Source organism: Homo sapiens, chromosome 4 (assembly GCF_000001405.40).
Source record: "Homo sapiens chromosome 4, GRCh38.p14 Primary Assembly".
Taxonomy (NCBI): domain Eukaryota; kingdom Metazoa; phylum Chordata; class Mammalia; order Primates; family Hominidae; genus Homo; species Homo sapiens.
Window position 1 is genome coordinate 1,956,317 of NC_000004.12, and position 21,593 is coordinate 1,977,909.

Below are 21,593 nucleotides of genomic sequence, written 5' to 3' on the forward strand. Positions count from 1 at the left end.
AGGAAAATGTTTGCAGTCTGGTTTATTTGTTGAGCATAGAATAAGATACACTGATAACTTTTGTAACATTGGTTTGTGATTAATTTCATTAAAATTCTGTAAACCTATTATTCAGAAATTATTTTTAATACTAATTTACAGAAATGTTCCATGGCTTGCCTTTATGTAAAATGCAGATCTGAAGGAAGGGTCCTGTTGTCTCGACCTTGTGCAGCAGGCTCTTGGGGGCTCGCTTTACCTTTCAGTGCATGAGGAATCAGGGGTGGTCAAGCAGACAAGGTGCTTGGCCTCTGATTCCCCAGCTGGGGTGGGAGGCAGGAGCAACGATGTGGCATGGCTGGCTGATGACCCACGTTTGAGGGAGGCAGGATGGGGATGTGACCCTTCACTGGAGGAACTGGAGGAACTGGTATTTATGATCGGTCAAGAGAGAATGAGGCCAGTAGAGAAAACCCGAGGTGTGTGCATGTGGCTCGTTCAGGGAGAAGCACACGCTGTGTTGCAGCCGGGTCAGTGCTGGCTCCTGTGTGACTGCAGGCGGGGACCCGCGTATTTAAAGCTTGGTTAGCTCCATGCTGCCAGAAGCTTTGCAGGCTGCACTGAGTGGTAGGAGTGCATGGTGGGCATTCAGAGATCTCATAAAGAATGGGTAGGCATTGAAAGATTTTAAAAAATTATTAAGAGGGCGAGACGAAATTGAGAGGTGGACTTATGTGTTTGCTGCGACTGTCGGCAAAGTCTCCTAACTGTGGATGCAGGTGTCCTGTAGAGCCAGAAACCTTTGTGGCTGACTTGGGGCTGCAAAAACAGGGCAGACCACAGGACACGTCTAGGGTTGACATGGGGCTGGCCTCCTTCTTGGGACGGATTGTAGGGGTGTGTGTTTCCTCGGTTCTTGCTTGAGCCTATGGTTAATCTCTCAGAACCCCTTTTGTTTCGAGAGGAGCTCAGCTGCATGTTTTTTTGTTTTTGTTTTTTTTTTTTTGAGACTGAGTCTTGCTCTGTTGCCCAGGCTGGAGTGCAATGGTGTGATCTCGGCTCACTGCAACCTCCACCTCCTGGGTTCAAGCAATTCTCCTGCCTCAGTCTCCCAAGTAGCTGGGACCATACGCACCTGCCATCATGCCTGGCTAATTTTTTTTTTTTTTTTTGTAGAGAATGGGGTTTCAGCATGTTGGCCAGGCTGGTCTTGAACTCCTGACCTCAGGTGATCCGCCTGCCTCGGCCTCCCAAAGTGCTTCGATTACAGGCGTGAGCCACTGCACCCGGCCTCAGGTGCATTTTTATTTTCTGTCTGAGAACAGCAAGTCCCAGGCTTTGACCCTGGTGCTTTGTCCTTAGGCCATAGTGGAGGACAGGGAGCTCCCGACAGAACTCTGCCCTGGGCCTGTCTTGTAGAGAGGTGATGGCTGTTCTCTGAGCACTCCTTTGCCTCACACACTTGGCCGCATTTAAAAATACCTGCCCACTGACAGTTGTTCATAGACTCTAGTTTTATGGGAACCAGAAACTATACTTAACATTGAAAGTTTAGAGTGAACTATAAAAATATGGAGCTTGAAAGGTAGTTACCTGTATTTACTAAAATCTTTACTCCTATTTCATTGACTTTTTAGCACTGCAAGAAGCTGAAGCTCGTTTTCGTGAAATTAAGCTTCAGAGGGAAGCCCGAGAAACACAGGAGAGCGAGCGCAAGCCCCCACCATACAAGCACATCAAGGTGGCGTGTGGGAGCTGCGTGCACGCGTGTGGAGGGAGTCTTCCCCGAGGGCCGTGAGAGGTTCTTAGGCACACCCAGGCTATGGCTGGGGAGAGGACTGTCACCAGCCAGGATCTGTGGTGCCTGGCATGGATGGCCACACAAGAGACCATGAGCAAATGGCATGGGGGGATCTGCATGGGGGTTCTTGGATCCGCCTTGGAGTGTGAGGCTTGGCTTGGTAGCTTAGAGAAGGGTTGGGGTGACAGTCCTGACCGGGCTGCTTGGAGCAGGAGGAGCTGAGGGATGAGCCTCCCACCTGCACCAGGCTGTTGCCAAGTGCTGGGAGTCAGTCACATACGGCCAGGGCTCAGTGACTGAGCCCCAAACACGTAGATCCTGTACCTCAGAGAGCAAGATGGCGGGGCGGCAGGGGAGCTTGCCAGTTCTGTGTTTATTCCAGTGAGCTCGAGAGCCCCAGCAGGAGGAAGTGCAGCCAGGGCAGGGCTCTGTGAGAGCTCCAGGCCCCTCAGGGCTGCCTGCGCTCAGAGCTGGTGCGGCAAGCCGCATCCCCAGGAGCCTCGTGGCCGTTCCTGACGAGTGTTTGTGATAAGTGTGTGCCGGAGGTCAGGTGCTCTGCCTTTGCTTGTAAAATGTGGGCTGCAGTCAATATCTTTGTATGTAAAGAAAGTGCTCTGTATTCATCTTTATATAATATTTTCTTTGGGATGGATTCCCAGAAACAGAATCACAGGGTCAGAGAGTATGAAATGTTTAGATTCTTGGGGAATATTCCCAGATTGTTCTCCAAAATGTACAGTTTGTCATACCACAGCAGTGAAAAGAGTGTCTTTCGCCACCTCTTCCCTAAGATTATGCATTTCTACCCCAGCTGATTTTCAGCTGTCTCTACTGCTTTGTTATTTGGTTGCTTGTCTTTCACTAATAGTAAACCACAAGGTCATGAGAGCAGAGGCTATGCCCTCCTGCCTAGCACTGCTCCTCCTGGGGTGGACTCCCATGTGGCTTGCTGCTGGTGCTTGGTAAAGGAAGAGTCAGAGAGATGGGTCGGGAAGCTGCTCAGAAGAGCTCTTACCAGCGTTTGCTGGACACCCTGCAGTGTACTAAGCAATCAACACGCTTTTTCTCTCTTCATCTTACAATGGCCTGGCTGGATACGTGTCAGCTCTTGTTCATCAGCGATGTGCACAGACACTAAGATAAAATAATGTGAGGGGGCGTTGTGTTGCCCTGCCTGCCTCTTGTGCTAAGAAGGCAGAGGAGAGCTCCTCTGGGATCTGGGGAGGGCTGTTCTGAGTAGTGTGTCCTAGCCAGGACTCTGAAGCTTTCTAAAAGGCCACCTGGAGGCTGGGTAAGGAGAGGCAGTGGTGGGTGTGCAAGGGTATTCGGAAGGCTCTCATGTGTGGACCAAGACAGCTTACTCCTTCCCTGCAGGTGAATAAGCCTTACGGGAAAGTCCAGATCTACACAGCGGATATTTCAGAAATCCCTAAGTGCAACTGCAAGCCCACAGATGAGAATCCTTGTGGCTTTGATTCGGAGTGTCTGAACAGGATGCTGATGTTTGAGTGCCACCCGCAGGTGTGTCCCGCGGGCGAGTTCTGCCAGAACCAGTGCTTCACCAAGCGCCAGTACCCAGAGACCAAGATCATCAAGACAGATGGCAAAGGGTGGGGCCTGGTCGCCAAGAGGGACATCAGAAAGGTATGTGTCGTTATCCCCTCCCCTGCTTTTGAGAAATTACGGTTCACTGGGTAATTAGGCCTAGGTTTGCTTGTGGTGGTTTTGTAGTCATGTGAGAATGGTATTTTTTGGAAAAAAAATTTTTTTTGTTTTTGTTTTGAGACAGGGTCTCACTCTGTCATCTAGGCTGGAGGGCAGTGGCATGATTGTAGTTCACTGCAGCCTCAGAATCCTGGGCTCAAGCCATCCTCCCACCTTAGCTTCCCAAGCAGCTGGGACTACAGGCGTGTTTGACCATGCCCTAATAATTTTATTTTTTTTTGGAGATGGGGTCTTGCTGTGTTGCCCAGGCTCATTTCGAACTCCTGGCCCCAAACCATCCTCCTGCCTAGGCCTCCCAAAGCAATGGGATTTTAGGCAAGAGCCTCTGTGCCTGACCTGAAATATTTTTTTGAATTGAATTATTACAATTGAATATTTTAAAATGTTACATGAAAGGTATCTGCTATAACTCACACATTCCCTTAAAACATGCCTTATGTCAGAATTCTGATGGTTATTTTTATGAAATGGAAGATCTGTGAAGTGACCCACTTTCCTCTGGGCTAGTAGCCAGGTGCTTGGGAGCACTCACCAGCAGGCGTAAGGAGATTGCTCTTGTGAGGGGTGGTCCTGGCACAGTCTAGGACCAAGTCGTTGGTAGACACCAGGACAGTTGACCTCCTGCCTCTGCTCCCAGACTGTGTCCCAAGGACATCCAGGGACTGAGAGACATGTAGAACTGCTGACCCTGATGTATTTTGGCATGACCCAGGTCCATACCAGGGCTGACCCAGCACAGAGAGTTCATAAGCCTGGTGCCAGTTCCAGCAACAGCACAAAAGGTTGCTTAGAAACACCTCCCCAGCACCCTTGTTCCTCGCCTGCCTGACTGCTGATTCACCCAGACTCTTGCTTTACATCCTGTCAGATACTTTGTAGCCATTTTCTCTGTTGTGGGGATCACCGTGTAAAGTGGGTTATGTAGAAGCTTGGTTATCAGACAGCGCTCCTGAGACAAGGTCGTGTAGGAAGCAAGGGTTGGCATATTGCCACTTCGTGAATACTTAATACATTTTTCATTGGCAACCTTTACATACAGATATGTCTGAGATCCTTTGAATTTAATTTATGGAGACTTTGTACACGCCCTCCACGGAGGTATGCTGATGTGTGTGGTGCCCGTTCTAAGTGATCATGATGGGGAGTCTTGAGCCCCGACACTGAGGATTGGTCAGCACGCTTTTTGTCATGGCCACATGCTTGTGATTTCCAGGGAGAATTTGTTAACGAGTACGTTGGGGAGCTGATCGACGAGGAGGAGTGCATGGCGAGAATCAAGCACGCACACGAGAACGACATCACCCACTTCTACATGCTCACTATAGACAAGGTAATGCGGAACTCCACTGTGAGCTTCTGCAGTGTGCTGGACCTGGAGCCCTGATGGTCACCTGTAGAACTGGACTTTGCCCTGTGGCAGCGCCAGCATTTGTCTCCTTAGCTGCTTATTTTCAAACATCTGCACATTTTCTTCTGAGGTGCAGCGTGTCTTTCAGCTGCGCCGGAGGGCTAGAGCTAACCACCTCTCAGCACCCAGGCACCCTGAGGCTCTGCTTGTCCGGGTGTGCATGCAGAGCGTTCCCAGCAGCCTTAGTACAGGGCAGGGAAGTAGAGAGGACACAGATGAGGAAGTCTCAGCATCTTCTTTTGTTTTTAAAAAGTGATTGTATTTTATTTTTTAATTTTCAGTGCTCTTTGGGTAAGGTCTCAGCATCTTCTCTGTTGTGTAGCAGAATCGTTTTTGCTTGGTTGTTGCTTGTATGCAGCCCATATTTCTAACCATTTTGGAACCTAGGTGCTAGAGGGATCAATGTTCTGAGGAAAAGGAGGATAGGAAGATTTGTGTAAAAGTGGGCATGGATAAAAGACAGTACATCTGGAGTGCTCAGCTCTGGGCCTGATGCCCAATCCTGACAGGTGTTGCCGGGCCCTTCCAGGGCGGCTCCTTCAATGGCCACAGCCCTGTGGGGGTGCGTGTCATCCCTTCCCTCACACGGCAGGCTTTTGGCTTCTGGATGACTTCAGCTGGGGAAGTGTGGCCTCCTTAGTGCCTGAGTGGTCTTTGAAAGGAAGGGAGATAGAATACATGTTTCTGCCTTTTGTTGCCCTTAAGCTCATCATCTAGCAGGAAAGTCTGGCTATTTTTAAAAGAGTAGATTAATAGTAGTGCTTGAAAACCAGATAGAAAATGATCACCGATAAAAAAATGTTGAACAATTCATGGAAGACAGATGTGATGAGACCTAGAGAGAAAGGGCTGCTATGGAAATAAGAATGGTTCCAGGAACCTTGTCAGGTGGCCCCTGGGGAAGCTATATCCCCTACCCCTGCAGTAGTGGGGCAGCAGTGGCCAGTGGAGCCTGCTCCGGGGGAGCACTGGGCTCTGTGTCAATCACAGGTCGTGGGGCTTACACCTTTCAAAGAAGTCAGTGTCATGAAGGACAAAAAGAATCCTGGGTTAAAAGAGACTAAAGAAGTACCCAGAGGAGGTGTGTGCTTCTTGATCAGAGCCTGAATCTGGGATGAGGAGCTATAAAGTATGCTTTTGGGGGCAGTGGGAAAAATTTTAATTTGGACAGGAGGCTGTTCTTCATGCTAAATTTCATAGGTATGGAAAGTGTTGTGGCTGCGCAAGAGAATGACTTGTGATGTGTTTAGGGTCAGATGTCAGATATTCGTAACTTACTTTCAAAGGATCGGGAAAAAATTTGTGTGTGTATACATATATCCATAAATAGAAAAAGCAAATGTGGTAAAACGTTAATACTGAATGAGTGAAGGGTATACTGATGTTCGTTATAGTATTCTTCCATTTTTTTCTTAGGTTTGAAATTTTTTTACTCCTAGGTTTTGTTGTTATTTTTCTTTTTTGAGACAGGGTCTCTATCACCCAGGGTGGAGTGCAGTAGCACAGTCATAGTTCACTGCAGCCTCGATCTCCTGGGCCTAAGCAATCCTCTCACCTTGGCCTCCTGAGTATCTGGGACTACAGGAACATGCCACCACACCTGGCTGATGAAATTTTTTTAAATAAAAGAATTGTCTTGAAATAGCCCTAGAGCTAGAGAGGTGGGTAGCGCTTCCTCCTACATGCTCTGTCAGGGCGCACCACCCAGGGGATAAGCTAGCAGCACATTCCTCTCAGGGCCCTGTCAACACAGGTCTTCTCTAGGAGGTGGGCTCTGGCATACCCTATGACATTGGAACAGGGATTCTGAAGTGCAAAATGAACAGAAAACCAAGAATACACAACGAGAGAGAAAGAACAAGCCCCAGTGACTCTTCAGCAACACCCTCATAGGATGACAGATAAGGGGCCTGAGCTTGCTAAGTAAATAGGAAAGCTTTGCAGGGCTGGAGCAAAAAGGCAAGATGGGAAGCAGGTCCATAAGGGCGAGAGTGGGTTTGTACACAGCGCCTCTAGGACCATGGCGTGTAGAGCAGGCAGGAGCTTGTGTTTTAACCCTCATGTGGGGACCAGTGATAAGTCTTGCTCAAAGGCTTGGTGGCCAACTGGAGTTGAGTACCCTGTGTAGACCCCTGGGAGGGTTTTAGCCCTAGGGAAGGGACTAATAAACTTGCCCCAAGAGGCAGCAAATATGCTTCTCTGTTGTATCTGGGGAGGAGGGCAGGGAGGTTATTTGTTAGACATCGAAGCCCTAGGTCTGTGCCTTATGTTTTGGAGTCTAAATGTAAACTACTTATGTGCTGTAAGAAATGCCAAGTGGATACTGCAGTTTGCTTTTGATTAGTAAAAAAGAAATGCCAGGTTGAGCATTTAATCCACAAGTTGGTTCCTGACATGGTAATCCACCTGAGGTACCTGATTGAGGCAAAGATAAAGCCTGTGACACATGAGAGACATTTAAGCAATTCATACCTCATATATTTCCTATGAAAACAAAAAACAAGCTGGGCACAGTGGCCCACGCCTGTAATCCCAGCACTTTGGAAGGCCGAGTTGGGAGGGTCACTTGAAGCCAGGAGTTTGAGACCAGCCTGGGTAACACAGACCCTCATCTCTACAAAAAAGAAAAAAAATTAGCCGTGCCTGTGATTCCAGCTACTCAGGAGGCTGAGGCAGGAGGACTGCTTGAGCCCAGGAGTTTAAGACTGCTGTGAACTATGATCATGTCAATATATTCCAGCCTGGGGGACGGAATGGGAACCCGGTCTCTAAACAAAACAAAAATTTGAAAAGGAGCCCTACTTAAACGTTTACAAAGCGCAATAGAAGGTGACCCTCGTGAGCAGACCTTCCTAATGGAAGGCTTTGCTTTTAGCGAGGACCTGAGGTAACAAGACTACATTTAAAGGAGAATGTGAACTAAGTGTATTAGAAATGGTTAAAGCCATGAATAGAGCTTTAGACGCCACAAGAAAAGAATGAGATATGGAGGGTAAATCAGACAAATACGAACAAACAGCAGCGGAGGTTAAAATAGAGTCATTGAGAGGATCCTGGGATAATGGCAGAGCAGGAAGCTGTGTCCCCACCTAGACCACAGTTGCACCAGAAGGACCTGTCTGATGTAACCATTTTGGAACTCTGGAAGCTACTGAAGGCTTGCAACTTCCAGGGGAGGCTTGGATGGCAAATTGGGGTTAATTTTGGTTTCAGCTCTTGGCACAGCAGCGGCTACCCATGCCCCACAGACAGCCATGCACATGTTCTTGGAGCACCTCGCACACAGCTTGAGGGGTTCAGGGTGAGCAAGAAGGATCCTTTTCTCCAAATAGTGGGTATCTGTGCTCAGGATCCCTGATTGCTGCTTCTGATCACAGAGGTGCAGACAAAGAGGTGCGCTGCGCTGCCGTTGTTATCACACCTCCCTCAGTCGTTACAAGCCCCTCCCCCTCCAGCTGAAGTATCTTCAAGAGTATTTAAAGGGCCAGCACCAATTGCCCCCCTCTTTCATTTTTCTCTTTTTCCCCTTTTGGGAGCCAGACATTAAAAGACTAGGAAATTCAAAAACAACTATGGGGAAAATAAGAAAATTTAGAAAATTAGACAGTGACTGCATGCTCAGGGAAAGGTACAGCTCAAAAAAGATCTGGAAAGACCTTAAATTTCCATCTTGGGTTGATCCTCTGCACAGAAACAGCCTGCAACAATCAAAACAAGAACAATAAATAAAAATAACAAAAACAGCAAACCTAGGGCAAGGGGAGGAAGAATCTAATTTCTAGAGTTACCACATTATTAGACTTAACATGTCCAGTGTTCAGCAAAAAAAAAAAAAAAAAAAAAAAAGCCTACAAAGAGACAGGAAAATATGGCCATTTAAAGGGAAAACAAAATCAGCAGAAACTATCCCTAAAAGAAAGGCCAGATGATAGATCTACTAGACAGAGACTCTAAAACATCTGCCTTAAAGATGCTGAGAAAACTAAAGGAAAACCTGCAGAAAGTCAAGAAAATCATGCATGAACAAAATGGCAGTATCAATGAAGAGATAGAAAACCTATAAAGAGAAACAAACAAAAAAAGGAATTGTTGAGCCTGAGAAACAGAAAAGAAGATTGAAGAAAAGTGAACGGATCATAAGGGGTATGTGGGCTACCACCAAGCAGACCAATATATCTATTGTGGGAGTCCCAGATGGTGAAGAGAGAAAGAGGCAGAGACAACTTTGAAAAAATAATGGCTGAAAAATTCCCAGGTTTGATGAAACACACAAATATAAACATCTAAAGAAGCTCAATAAACTCCAGATGATCAAACTTTCGAAAACCAGAAAAAGAATCTTGAAAACCGCAAGAGGAAAGCTACTCATTACATGCAAGGTGTATTAGTCTATTTTTACACTGCTCTAGAGATACTACCCAAGACTGGGTAATTTATAAAGGAAAGAGGTTTAATTGATGACTCACAGTTCCACATAACAGGGGAGGCCTCAAGAAACTTACCATCACGGTGAAGGTGAAGGGTACCTTTGCACATGGCGGCAGGAGAGAGAAGTGTGTGAGAGCCCAGGAAAAACTACCATTTATAAAACCATCAGATCTTGAGAGAACTCACTCACTGTCATGAGATGGCATGGAGGAAACCCTCCCATAATCCAGTCACTTCCCACCAGGTTCCTCCCTTAACACCTGAGGATTACAATTCAAGATGCGATTTGGGTGGGGACACAAAGCTAAATCATATCACAAGGGATTCTCAATGAGATTATCAGCAAATTTCTCATCAGGAATTTTGAAGGCCTACAGGCAGTGGGCCAATGCTAAAAGAAGAAAAAAAAATGTTAACCAAGACTTGTATGCAGTAAAACTGTCTTTCAAAGATAAGGGTGAAATTAAGACATTCCCAGATAAACAAAAGCTGAAGAAGTTTTTTAGCACTAGACCTGCCTTGCAAGTAATGGTCAAGAGAGGTAATGGAGAGAAGTCTTGTAGGTTGAAATGAAAGGATACCATACAGTCACTACAAGTTGTATGAAGAAGAAAGATCTCAAAGTAAATACATGGTCAGCTATAAAAGTTTGTATTGTTGTAACCGTGGTTTATAACTCCATTTGTTTGTTTGTTGTCTGCATGATTGAAGAGATAGGGCTGGGCATGGTGGCTCACGCCTGTAATTCCAGCGCTTTGGGAGGCTGAGATGGGTGGATCACCAGGTCAGGAGATCGAGATCATCCTGGTTAACACGGTGAAACCCCATCTCTACTAAAAATACAAAAAAATTAGCCGGGCGTGGTGGCAGGCGCCTGTAATCCCAGCTACTAGGGAGGCTGAGGCAGGAGAATGGCGTGAACCCGGGAGGCGGAACTTGCAGTGAGCCAAGATCGTGCCAGTGCACTCCAGCCTGGGTGACAGAGCAAGACTCTGTCTCAAAAAAAAAAAAAAAAAGAGACATACATTTAAAAAACAATTACTAGTTTAAAAGCTGGTATTGTAATTTAGTTTGTAAATTCTAACATTTTGTTTTCTATATAATTTAAGCTACTCATGTATTACTAGTTTTACTCATGAATTACTGGCTTGTGTTTTAGGGCACTCAATACATAAAGATGTGATTTTGTGATATGAGCAACTGAAAAGGATGGGGACAGAGCTGTAAAGGGGCAGGGTTTTTATGTTATTGAAGTTAAACTTAATATAATCAAGTTATAACATTATATAGAGAATTGGAAAACTGGAGAAAATCAATGAAACCAAAAGTTTGTTTTTTAAAAAGATCAATAAAATTGACAAACCTTTAACTAGATGGACTAGGAAAAAAAGAGAAAAGACTCACATAACTAAAATCAGAACTGGGTGTGTGAAGACATTATTACTGCTTCTACAGAAATAAAAAAGGATTATAAGACAGTACTGTGAACAACTGTACTCCAGTAAATTGGATAACTGAGATGAAATAGACAAATTCCTAGAAACACAAACTACCAAGACTAAATCATGAAAAAAATGGAAAATCTGAATAGACTTATAACTAGTAGAGAGATTGACTCAGTAATTAAAAATCTCCTGAGAGGCCGGGCACGGTGGCTCATGCCTGTAATCCCAGCACTTTGGGAGGCCGAGGCCGGCAGATCACAAGGTCAGGAGTTCGAGACCAGCCTGGCCAATATGGTGAAACCCTGTCTCTACTAAAAATACAAAAATTAGCTGGGCGTGGTGGCGGGCGCCCATAATCCCAGCTACTCAGTAGGCTGAGGCAGGAGAATCGCTTGAACCTGGGAGGCAGAGGTTTCAGTGAGCCGAGATCATGCTGTTGCACTCCAGCCCAGGCAACAGAGCGAGACTTTGTCTCAAAAAAAAAAAAAAAGATATTTCCAACTTAACAGTGGGTTTACTGGGACATAGCCCCATTGTAAGAGTGTTGCCAGACACTGAGGTTTCAGCCTAGGTCTGCTTTCTCGCTGCAGGGAAAGCCCATCTCTGACACAGTCAGTGTTGCCAGAGAAGAAAGGCTTTCATGTGGGTGACATCAGACGAGACCAGCCTCAAATCCATCTTCCCAGCCAACTCAAGTGGTTATACAGGAGTTGGTCAACAGGCAGCAGGTGGTTGGATGAGGGGTCTGGCATCTCATTGTAACCATGTGTGGGAAAACAGGAATTAGGGAGGGATAAGGAAAGGGAGTTGGTCAACAGGCAGCACGTGGTCAGTCTGGTGTCTTATTGTCAAGATGGGTTATCTGGGAAATTTCAGTTCTTTGATACTATCTGGGAGAGAAATTGGGCCAGGTTCAAGTGGAGCATCTGTACTTGCAAACCAAATTGGCAGCATATTAAAAGAATTACACACCAGGGAAAATAACCCTAGACCTTGCATTCTAGTGCTCTGCTTATCTGTGACTTCAGACAAAGATGGAGAGAGCTGACCATCAGTATAATTTAGCTGAATGAAATAATGAGATATTTTAGGAAGAAGAACATTGAATGTCAGAAGTTAAATGTGAGATCCAAGAAGTAACAGTGAACAGACAAGTTTGTGGGTATGTGGATATGTCTTAAATAAGTCAGGTTGTGTCAAATTATGATGGATGATGATGACTGCGAGGCAGGAAGGAAGATGAAAAGGAGGAGGCATTGAACACTAATGGTCACAGGGAGCACCGGGAGCGTGGTGACGCCAGGGTGAGCTGCTTGTTCTGTGAGGGTGGAGGGAAGAGATTTATTAACCTTAGACTTTGTTAAAGTATACATGTGACGTCTACATGGGAAACTGCTAAATGAATAGAAGTGGAAGGTGTAACTTCCACACCATTAAAGGGTAAAAAGGAGAATGAAGAAAAGTCAATTTAGTAGAACCTGCGGGAGGAAGATGGGGGAAGGAGAAATAATAGTAATTAGAAAGCACAGATTAAAAAAAAATCAAAATGTCAATAATCACAATATATGTAAGTGGTTTAAATGTATAAGTTAAGACTAAGATTCACATTAGGGTCAGTACATAGTAACAACAAGGAAAGGCTCCCACAGGCCTTAATGTTTGTAGTTATTGGGGTGGAGGAGACACAGGAGACAGCATGGAGAGGAAGAACTAGATTAGATGCACGTCCGACAGTTGGAAAGATCCTAAAGGTAGTGTTCAAAGAAAAAACTAAGAGAATGTGATTCACAGCCAAACAAATCTATACATAGGATTCTGGTAGCAGATGGCAGCTGCTCACTTCCAGAACAAAAAATGTACACAAAGTACATCTTCACTGAAACTGTGGGACAAACAGACCCATCCACTGAAAGTCCAACAGGCAGAGGAAAGTACTGGAGACCTGCAGTGTCACCCGGACACAGGGGGTGCAGAGACACGGGAGTGCGGCCTGGCAGGCAGAGCCAGCACCTGGGGCCTGCCCCCAGCGGCGCTGAGAGTTGAAAGGGAGCAGTGGGAAAAGAAGGCATGGGGAGCTCCTGGGAAGAAGAGATGACACATCTTTGAAAGGATCACCTTCCAAAAGGAAGGCAACATGCTGGAAGGCAGAGAGAAAGGGACCTGAGGCTCTGAGGGCCCACAGAGACTTGGGTTCTGTGGTGAGGAGACCTCCATCAAGCCGACAGCAGTGAGACAAACCTGGGACCCAGCCAGTACCCGCTCCAAGAAATCCGACTTCTTCAGAAAACAATGAAAAGGTTATGTAAGAAAACCCCAGCCAGGTGCAATGGCGTGTGCCTATAATCCCAGCACTTTGGGAGGCCGAGGCAGGAGAACCGCTTGAGCCCAGCCTGGAGTTTGAGACCAGCCTGGGCAACACAGCAAGGCCTTGTCTCTACTAAAAAAAAAAAAAAAAATAGCTGGGCACAGTGGCATGTGCCTGTTGTCCCAGCTACTCAGGAGGCTGAGGTGGGAGTATCGCTTGAGCCCAGGAGGCCAAGGCGCGCAGTAAGCCAAGGTCCTGTACAATTGTGCTCCAGCCTGGGCAACAGATTCTGTCTCTAAAACAAACAAAAACAAAATCCTGACCCAAAACAGCAGAACTTCCTTACAGATGGAGAAAAGCCACTTAGAAAAATTTTTATCACAAAGTAGATAAAAGTTATACTCTAATATTCACAGATTTTTTGAATATGAGGATTCAGAGATAGCCAGGCAGAAAGGAGAGCTAGGATTGGGAACTTGTAGAACTCAGGAGTGAAACAAGGAAAAGAAAATTATTTTCTAAGCAAAGCCTAAACCTCAAGGAACACACTAGAGAGTAGGAACCACAAGAACGGCACGAAGGTGGATGTGGGGAGTGAGCAGAGTGCAGCTGAAAGAACCTGGGAAAGAGAGAAAGAAGGAATGTAGGAAAGAAAGAGAAGGATGCGAGTGACGCCTTGGGCAGGGGCTGCTGAGGAGAGGCACTGTGCATTCAAGCAGGCCAGAGGATGGTTCAGCGGGGCTGAGTCACATTGGGCGACGTCGTAAGTAGGATTACTGGACGCAACCAAGAATCCTGTAGATACCCAGGCAAAAAAACAAAACAAAAAGCCTAAATTGCTTCTAAGGGGAGAAATAGGGCCAAGTGGAGGCTGTTCACAGCAGGACCCAGTGCTCGGGACAGGGTGGGCTCCTCAGAACGAGCCAGGGGTGTCTATCCAGGCATGTGGCTCTCTGGGTGTAACAGCTACAGAGATGCAGGTTGGAGCATAGAGAATTAAAGGAACATGTCCTTCCTGAGTCAGCTGCTGAGAGATGAGCTCCAGGCCTCCAGCAGAATCAGGTGAAGCTCCAGCAACAAGTTGGGCAGTGGCAGCTGCCGGGGGTGAGTGTGCCAGAAGGAGTGATGCGTACTCAGAATGTTGCCCCCACCAGAAGGGGCAGTGGGAGGAGCAGGGAGAAAGGAGGGTAAGTTCACCCCCAACACCGGCGAGCCAGAGCCGCTGAGTCAGGTGGGAGCAGAAGCTGAGGTGTGTTCAGGAGCAAAGGAGAGCATGAAGATAATGCTACTGATGAGAGCTGGGCTCTAGGGGCGGTTGAGGGAGGGGGTCCAGGCTGATTTCAGTGTGCACAAGCAGGGACATGTAATGTCCGGGACATTACATGTGGGCATGCAGGCTGACGGGTCACATAAAGGGCCGCCAACAGGACAGGACGGAGTCCCCAACAGCAGGAAATCAAGCAGCTCCTCTGCCTCACAGTGAAAGGCTGAAAGCCCATAGAAACAAGCAAGACATGAATGTGTTCTGACTGTGGCCAGCATATCTGGAAAGAGGAAAATGGGCTCGCTTACTTTTTAAAGGACTTCCAGATTGGATCATAAAACCGAATTCTCTGCAGCATGCAAGGAACAAAGAGATTCTGGAAGGTTAAAAATAAAATTGTGGGCAGGCCGGGTGCAGTGGCTCATGCCAGTAATCCCAGCACTTTGGGAGGCTGAGGCGGGTGGATTGCTTGAGCTCTGGAGTTCGAGACCAGCCTGGGCAACATAGGGAGACCCTGTCTCAATTAAAAAAAAATTGTGGCCAAAGGTATGCCAAGGTGAAGTCGAAGAAAGGAGTTGTTCTCAGACAAGGCAGAATTCAGGCCCTACCACTTTCAGTGACACAGAAGAAGGCTTTTTTGACACCAGAGCCACCACTGGGGATGAGATGCACCCTAAATTTAGGGCCTTCCCACTGGCCTATGGGATCCAGGAGAAAGGCCAGTGAATACAGCTGACGGTGAGTTCACCTCTTAATTGAAGGCAGAGATCCTGGACAGATGATGAGCATGAATTCAGCACTGTCGAAAAGAAGGACAGAATACACTGGAGGAAGTGTTTAGAGACCAAGCAGAGACTTAGAGAACAGAAACAATAGAAATAAATAAATCTCTTCTTACGAGCCCACAATAGTGCCGTGTACTTTTCAGAGGCACATGTACTGAGGCGTGAGGTCCGAGCCAGGGCGTGGACCTGTATGTGAACATGGGAGGAGGGGACCTGGGACCTGTGAGGGTGTGTGCCAGCCGGTGGGGTGCACCTGAAAAGCATGGAGAGCAGTTCCTTGTGACCGAGTGGGGTTTACCCCAGGACTGCAAGGAGGGCTTAACAACCCTATCAGGTAAAGGAGGAAAACAAATCCAGAGTCATTTTCATGAACACCAGAAAATCATTTGAGAAAATTCAAACCTATTCCTGATGAAAACTTCCCAAGAAACCAGGACTACAAGTATGCTTAGCTTGCTAAAAGACATCAGCGGCTGCCAGCTGATGCTCAGTGAGCCAGACACTTGTGGCCGGTTCAGAAATAAGGCAGGACGCTCACGCCGCTCCTGTACCCCCAAGGCTGCGGGTGCTGGGTGATGCAGGCAGGGCAGAAACAGCAGAGCAGCAAGAGGCAAACAGTGTCTCTCGGAGAATGTGACGGCTGTGTTTGGTGATGGCCTTATGTGAACTGTAGTGACAACAGTGAGAGGCCAGGTCCACAGGTTTTCCCCTGCCCTCCTCATGTATGCAGAGCCACAAAGAGCATTGATGCGTGTATTGAATGGAGCAGGCTTCTGTGGAAAGTTCGGCAGTGTCACTGACGGACACAAGAGATGATATGGATGAGTGGCGGTACAGGCTATGTCTCAGCTGGGAAAGGAGAGGCTGTGAGGGTGGAAATCTTCCCCAGTGCAAGCTCGTTGTAGGTGCGATAAAAATAGCAAAAACGTTTAAATATACCTGGACAGGCAATTTCAAAGTCCATGTAGAAGGAAAGATCTGCAGGTCTAGCCAGTGCTTTATCTTGAAGCCTTACTGTGGGAAGGGTGGGCGTGTCCTGGGGGTGACAGTGTTCCCCATGGCATTCCTGTGACTCCAGCGGGGCCCAAACCCAGGCGGATGGCCAGGGGGAGTGGGGCCAAAGCCAGGGCCGGGCAGCCCACGTACCACGCACTGATGCCTCCCCTCACACCACTTATAAAGGCCAATTCCAGATGGATTGAACAGCTAGGAGTGGGGGAGATGCATTTTATAATCTGTGTGGTGGGAAAAGCTGCATGCAACTACTCAGCAAACCGAAAACGCATGAAGCAAAAGGGTAAAATAGTTGCATAAGGCGGAGGCAGCTTTGTGAGAAAAGACATTGTGCACGGAAGATTCCATTGGGAGCTGGGAAGCTATGGGAAAGTTTTTGACACATTTTTTTTTCTTTTTGGAGACGGAGTCTCACTCTGTCGCCTAGGCTGGAGTTCAGTGGCACAATCTCAGCTCACTGCACCCTCTGCCTCACAGGTTCAAGCCATTCTCCTGCCTCAGCCTCCCGAGTAACTGGGATTACCGGTGCCCACCACCATAGCTGGATAATTTTTTGTATTTTTATTAGAGACAGTTTCACCATGTTGGCCAGGCTGGTTTCGAACTCCTGGCCTCAAGTGATCCTTGGCCTCCCAAAGTACTGGGATTATAGGTGTGAGCCACCGCGCCCGGCCGACATATTGTTATAAAGGGGTCTGATGTTTGGAATATCTAGGGAACATCTGTAAGTCAGTTAAGATAAATAAAACAGGGTCAAGACATGGCGGGCAACCCACAGATGAAAACTGGCCCGATAAGAAGGAAGTGGCACTGGGCCCCGCTGGTAATGGTAGGAATGTAGGTTAGACACGGTGCTGCCAGGCGTCAGAGGCTGGGTTGTCCTGTTGGCATTGGTGGCATGTCCCATGTGCATGCCCCGTGCTGTCCTCGTCCCCAGGGCCCTGCAGAAGTGGTGTGCATGCCAACGTGCACATCAGCACCGCGGCTCAGCGCGTCATGACAAAGCATCTGCAGAGGGCAGATGAGCACCCCCACTTCTGTGTTGAAGAGTGGCACTCTGGGTTGATTAGTGCATTTTATTATTGTGAAAAGCATCTTGCAGAGAACCACATTCTGGTACCATTTCTGGTTTTAAAGGGTGGCCTGTGTGGGTATGTAGAAAGGACACGGGGCCAGCGGTCCCAGACAGGGGCACCCTGGGAGATTGCACCAGGGCTGGGTGCGTGGGCAGTTGTGTCAGAGGCCGCGTGTGAATAGTGACTCCGAAGCCTGCCGCTTCCTGGGACCATGTTTATCCCAGTGTTTATCCCTGTTCACACACGTGGTTTTGTTTGAACACGTGACTGTTACGCTTTATGTGGCCTTTTGATTTCTCCCCACGCGGTTGTGCGGTGGATCTGGCGGCTCCTCAGGTGGAGGCCGGGGCCGTCCATTCCCTGCTGCTGGGTGGAGATGTTGTCTCCAGTTCCTGCCTTTGGCCTCCAGGCACCTGGATTTGAGTGGGTCAGTTCTAGGCCACATCGTGCTTGCATTTGTGATTCCCGTGGCCCTTATCAGGTTGCTGCCTCGAAAGCCTTCCTGCCGGCCCTGCAGCCACCCCTCATCTCAGCCAACGCCACATCAGCGCCATGGGTGCAAAGTCAGAGCTCACTGTCACTCGGATCTGCATTTCTCCACCTCTGCCTGGATTTGCTCTTTGGGAATTGTTTCTTTGCATCCTTTGCTGGTTTTCGGTTGGGTGAGTCTTTTTTTTTTTTGAGACGGAGTTTTGCTTTTGTTGCCCAGGCTGGAGTGCAGTGGCGCGATCTCCACTCTCTGTAACCTCCGCCTCCCGGGTTCAAGTGATTCTCCTGCCTCAGCCTCCCGAGTAGCTGAGATTACAGGCAGCCACCACCACGCCCAGCTAATTTTTTTTGTATTTTTAGTAGAGATGGGGGTTCACCATGTTGGCTAGTCTGGTCTCAAATTCCTGACCTCAGGTGATCTGCCTGCTTCAGCCTCCCAAAGTGCTGGGATTACAGGCGTGAGCCACTGCGCCCAGCCAGGGTGAGTCTTGTTCTTGTCCTTGAGTGCCACTTGGCTAGGCTGTTGCTGCTGACCTTAGCTCCCTTGTTTGCCATCATGGAGGATGCTGGGAGCTCCAGCTCCCTGTCCTGTCCTCCCCGGCGCTCACTAAGGCTCGGTCCTCTCCACGTGGTCCTGACCTGTCCTCTGTGAGCAAGAGAAACAGGACTGGTTTGGGGGTGTCCTGTCTCAGTGGACACAGGACACCACGGTTTTCAGTACAACAAGGAACACAACTTGTTCAATGTGCTTTATGATGGTGAAAATTCCCTTTAAAAATAACATGCGATTGCTAACACTTGACCGAATATATCACTTGACCTTACAGGACCGTATAATAGACGCTGGCCCCAAAGGAAACTACTCTCGATTTATGAATCACAGCTGCCAGCCCAACTGTGAGACCCTCAAGTGGACAGTGAATGGGGACACTCGTGTGGGCCTGTTTGCCGTCTGTGACATTCCTGCAGGTACAAGCTCTGGGGACCCTGCATGGGGCTCCTGGCTATGGGGGCAGAGTGGCCATCGCTGAGGGCTGCGTGGGGCTGGACTGGAAAGGCTCTGGGGGAGGTGGGTGCTGATGTGGAGTCTCTTTTGGTTTGAATATCTCTTTTACCAAGCAAAATTGAAAGGCCATGGGTCAAGCCAGTACAGATACAAAAATAATAAGAGTATTTTTGTTGACCTAATACACGCCCCTTAGCTTTTGAAGAGAAAGGCAGGTGTTTCCAATTTGGTGTCTGTCTCCTCTTCTCCCAGGGACGGAGCTGACTTTTAACTACAACCTCGATTGTCTGGGCAATGAAAAAACGGTCTGCCGGTGTGGAGCCTCCAATTGCAGTGGATTCCTCGGGGATAGACCAAAGGTAAGGCTGTGGCGCCCTCCTTCCCCCCAGGCTCTGTGTTGGCATTTTGCACTCCTGGAGACCTGTGTCCCCCGTGAACAGCGGCTTCCTCCAGGCTGGCTTGTTGCCGGGACAGGTGGGAGCAAGTTCCCTGCTGTGGGCTGGGGAGGATGGCTCTCAACAAAGGCCAGTGGTTAAGAGTTCCTCACTGAACGTGTTTCCTGGGGCTGCCAGAACAATGCCTCACAGACGCGTGGTTTCGCAGTTCTGGGTGTGGGCAGGGCCGTGCGCCCTCTGAAGGTTCCTTGGGAGGCTCTTTCCCAGGCCTGTCTCCCGTTCCTGGTGGCGGCCACAGTCCTTGCTGCTCCTTGGCTTGTAGCAGCACCGCCCAACCATTCTCCCTGCGAACATGACTGTTGACTTGCCCTTCTTATAAGAGCACTGGTCCTGTTGACTTAGCGCCTGCCCTGCTACCGTGTGACCCCATCTTAACAGATCTCATTGACAATGACCCTATTTCCAAATACAGTCACCTTCCAAGGTTCCAGGAAGGACAGAGATTTGGGGGGGCACTCTTGCACCCCTTCCCTGTGCTGTGTAGAACCTGGTCCTGAAAGCCTGGCGGTGGCACCAGCTCGGCCCTGAGCCGGTGTCTGTCCTCAGCCGTGTTGCTGAGGATGGTCACTGCCCTCAGGTCACTGCCGCCCACCTGTGCCCACGTTCCTGTGGAATTTCCTAATGAGGAGACCCTGGGTGGCGGGCGGGAGCTGTTCTGCCTGTGGTGGCCTCCTTTGCCAGTGGGTCCCATCAGCAGATCCTGGAGCTGTGTGTCTGCTGAGATGCTGCTGAGATGCGTCATTGCAGGCTTCCGACAAAGCTCACTCTAGTCGTAGTCTTTGTTCAGCTTTTTCACGCTGAGTCGAGTGAGTCTAAGGATGTCTGGGGAGCACGAGGAGGACACTCCTCTCCTCTCCTCTTAGTGTTGGGCACCTGCAGAGATCTCTGAAGTTCCTGGAGTGTAGCTCGCTCTTCTGCCCTATTTGCTTCAGCCTGTGTAATTCTTTCCGGTGATCTGTGCTTAATTCTTGACTCTAGACCTCGACGACCCTTTCATCAGAGGAAAAGGGCAAAAAGACCAAGAAGAAAACGAGGCGGCGCAGAGCAAAAGGGGAAGGGAAGAGGCAGTCAGAGGACGAGTGCTTCCGCTGCGGTGATGGCGGGCAGCTGGTGCTGTGTGACCGCAAGTTCTGCACCAAGGCCTACCACCTGTCCTGCCTGGGCCTTGGCAAGCGGCCCTTCGGTGGGTGTGCAGCCTCGCGGTGGCTTGCAGCTGTGTCTGTGTGGCAGGCTCCTGATGGCGGCTGCTGCCGCTCTTCCTGCTGACCGGGCCTCATCTGGGTGCAGGCACATCAGGCGCTCATGCAGCGAAGGCCCTGATCCAGGGTGGCAGAGCCTTTCTTTGTTCCACCAGCCGCACATTCTAGATCTCTGCATCGAGCAGAGAAGATATGTGGTGACGGGGTAGCCCCTGGAACCTCCAGGAGGGATTCAGGCAGCCCAAGGCCCAGCTGCAGAATTGGGGCCCTCATCCATGCTGTGGGGGCGGGGCGGCCAGGAAGGAGGCGACGCTGGGAACTAAAGCCCCTCCTAGGAGAAAGGCCTCTACAACAGTGTCTCCCTGGCAGCCCAGAGGGGCCTGGCCTGGCTGCACTACAGTGGGAATGGAGGGGCCCAGAGCCCCTGTCCTGGATGTGCAGGGCAGGCTGTCCCCAGAGATGGTGCTGTGCACCAGGAGGCTCCGCCGGTTGACGAAGGAGCTGCAGCTCTGGCTCTGTTTGAGGGAAAGTAGAGTGGGCTCCACCTTCCAGCACCCGCATTTCAGAGATGACAGGCGCCAGTGGGAAAACAGTAGCGTCTTGTTCCACTTGGTGATGAGACAGTCTGAGAAATGGGTCGTGAGATGACTCTGGCGGTGCGCAGACATCATGGCTCACACCTAAGGGTGCAGCCACCTCCGTTACAATCTTGCAGTGTGTCGCCATGAGGCTCTTGACTGTGTGGAATCACAGAAGAAAAATTAAATGGCCCTTACCCAAAACAAGAAACCCAAAAGAGGCCAGGTGCGGGGGCTCATGCCTGTAATCCCAGTACTTTGGGAGGCCAAGGTGAGCAGATCACCTGAGGTCAGGAGTTCGAGACCAGTCTGACCAACATGGTGAAACCCCGTCTCTACTAAAAATACAAAAATTAGACTGGTGTGGTGGCATGCACCTGTAATCCCAGCTATTCGGGAGGCTGAGGCAGGAGAAATGCTTGAACCCGGGAGGCGGAGGTTGCAGTGAGCCAAGATTGCAGAAAGCTGAGATAGCACCATTGCACTCCAGCCTGGGCGACAGAGCAAGACTCCACTCAAAAAAAAAAAAAACCAAACAAACAAAAAACAAAACTATAAAAAGAAAATCCAGGCCAGGCACGGTGGCTCATGCCTCTAATCCCAGCACTTCTGAGAGGCCAAGGTGGATGGATCACT

The 21,593-nt window shown here is 48.8% G+C and overlaps 1 protein-coding gene and 1 non-coding gene across 20 annotated transcripts in view; both read left to right on the plus strand.

Annotated features, from left to right (window-relative positions):
* The window catches only part of NSD2 (nuclear receptor binding SET domain protein 2), a 110,800-nt gene that overhangs the window by 84,924 nt on the left and 4,283 nt on the right, over positions 1-21,593 (plus strand). For 16 of the 19 annotated variants that reach the window (NM_001440892.1, XM_047416141.1, XM_047416137.1 and 13 more), the window contains 6 exons: positions 1,617-1,720; positions 3,155-3,424; positions 4,719-4,835; positions 18,547-18,688; positions 18,978-19,084; positions 20,159-20,363. In NM_001440892.1, coding sequence (NP_001427821.1) covers positions 1,617-1,720; positions 3,155-3,424; positions 4,719-4,835; positions 18,547-18,688; positions 18,978-19,084; positions 20,159-20,363 — 945 coding nt within the window. The remainder of the gene's footprint in view (positions 1-1,616; positions 1,721-3,154; positions 3,425-4,718; positions 4,836-18,546; positions 18,689-18,977; positions 19,085-20,158; positions 20,364-21,593) is intronic. The other 3 variants (NM_001440894.1, NM_001440898.1, NM_001440895.1) reach the window with 2 other exon arrangements.
* Positions 18,320-18,444, plus strand: SCARNA22 (small Cajal body-specific RNA 22). Its single transcript, NR_003004.1, has one exon.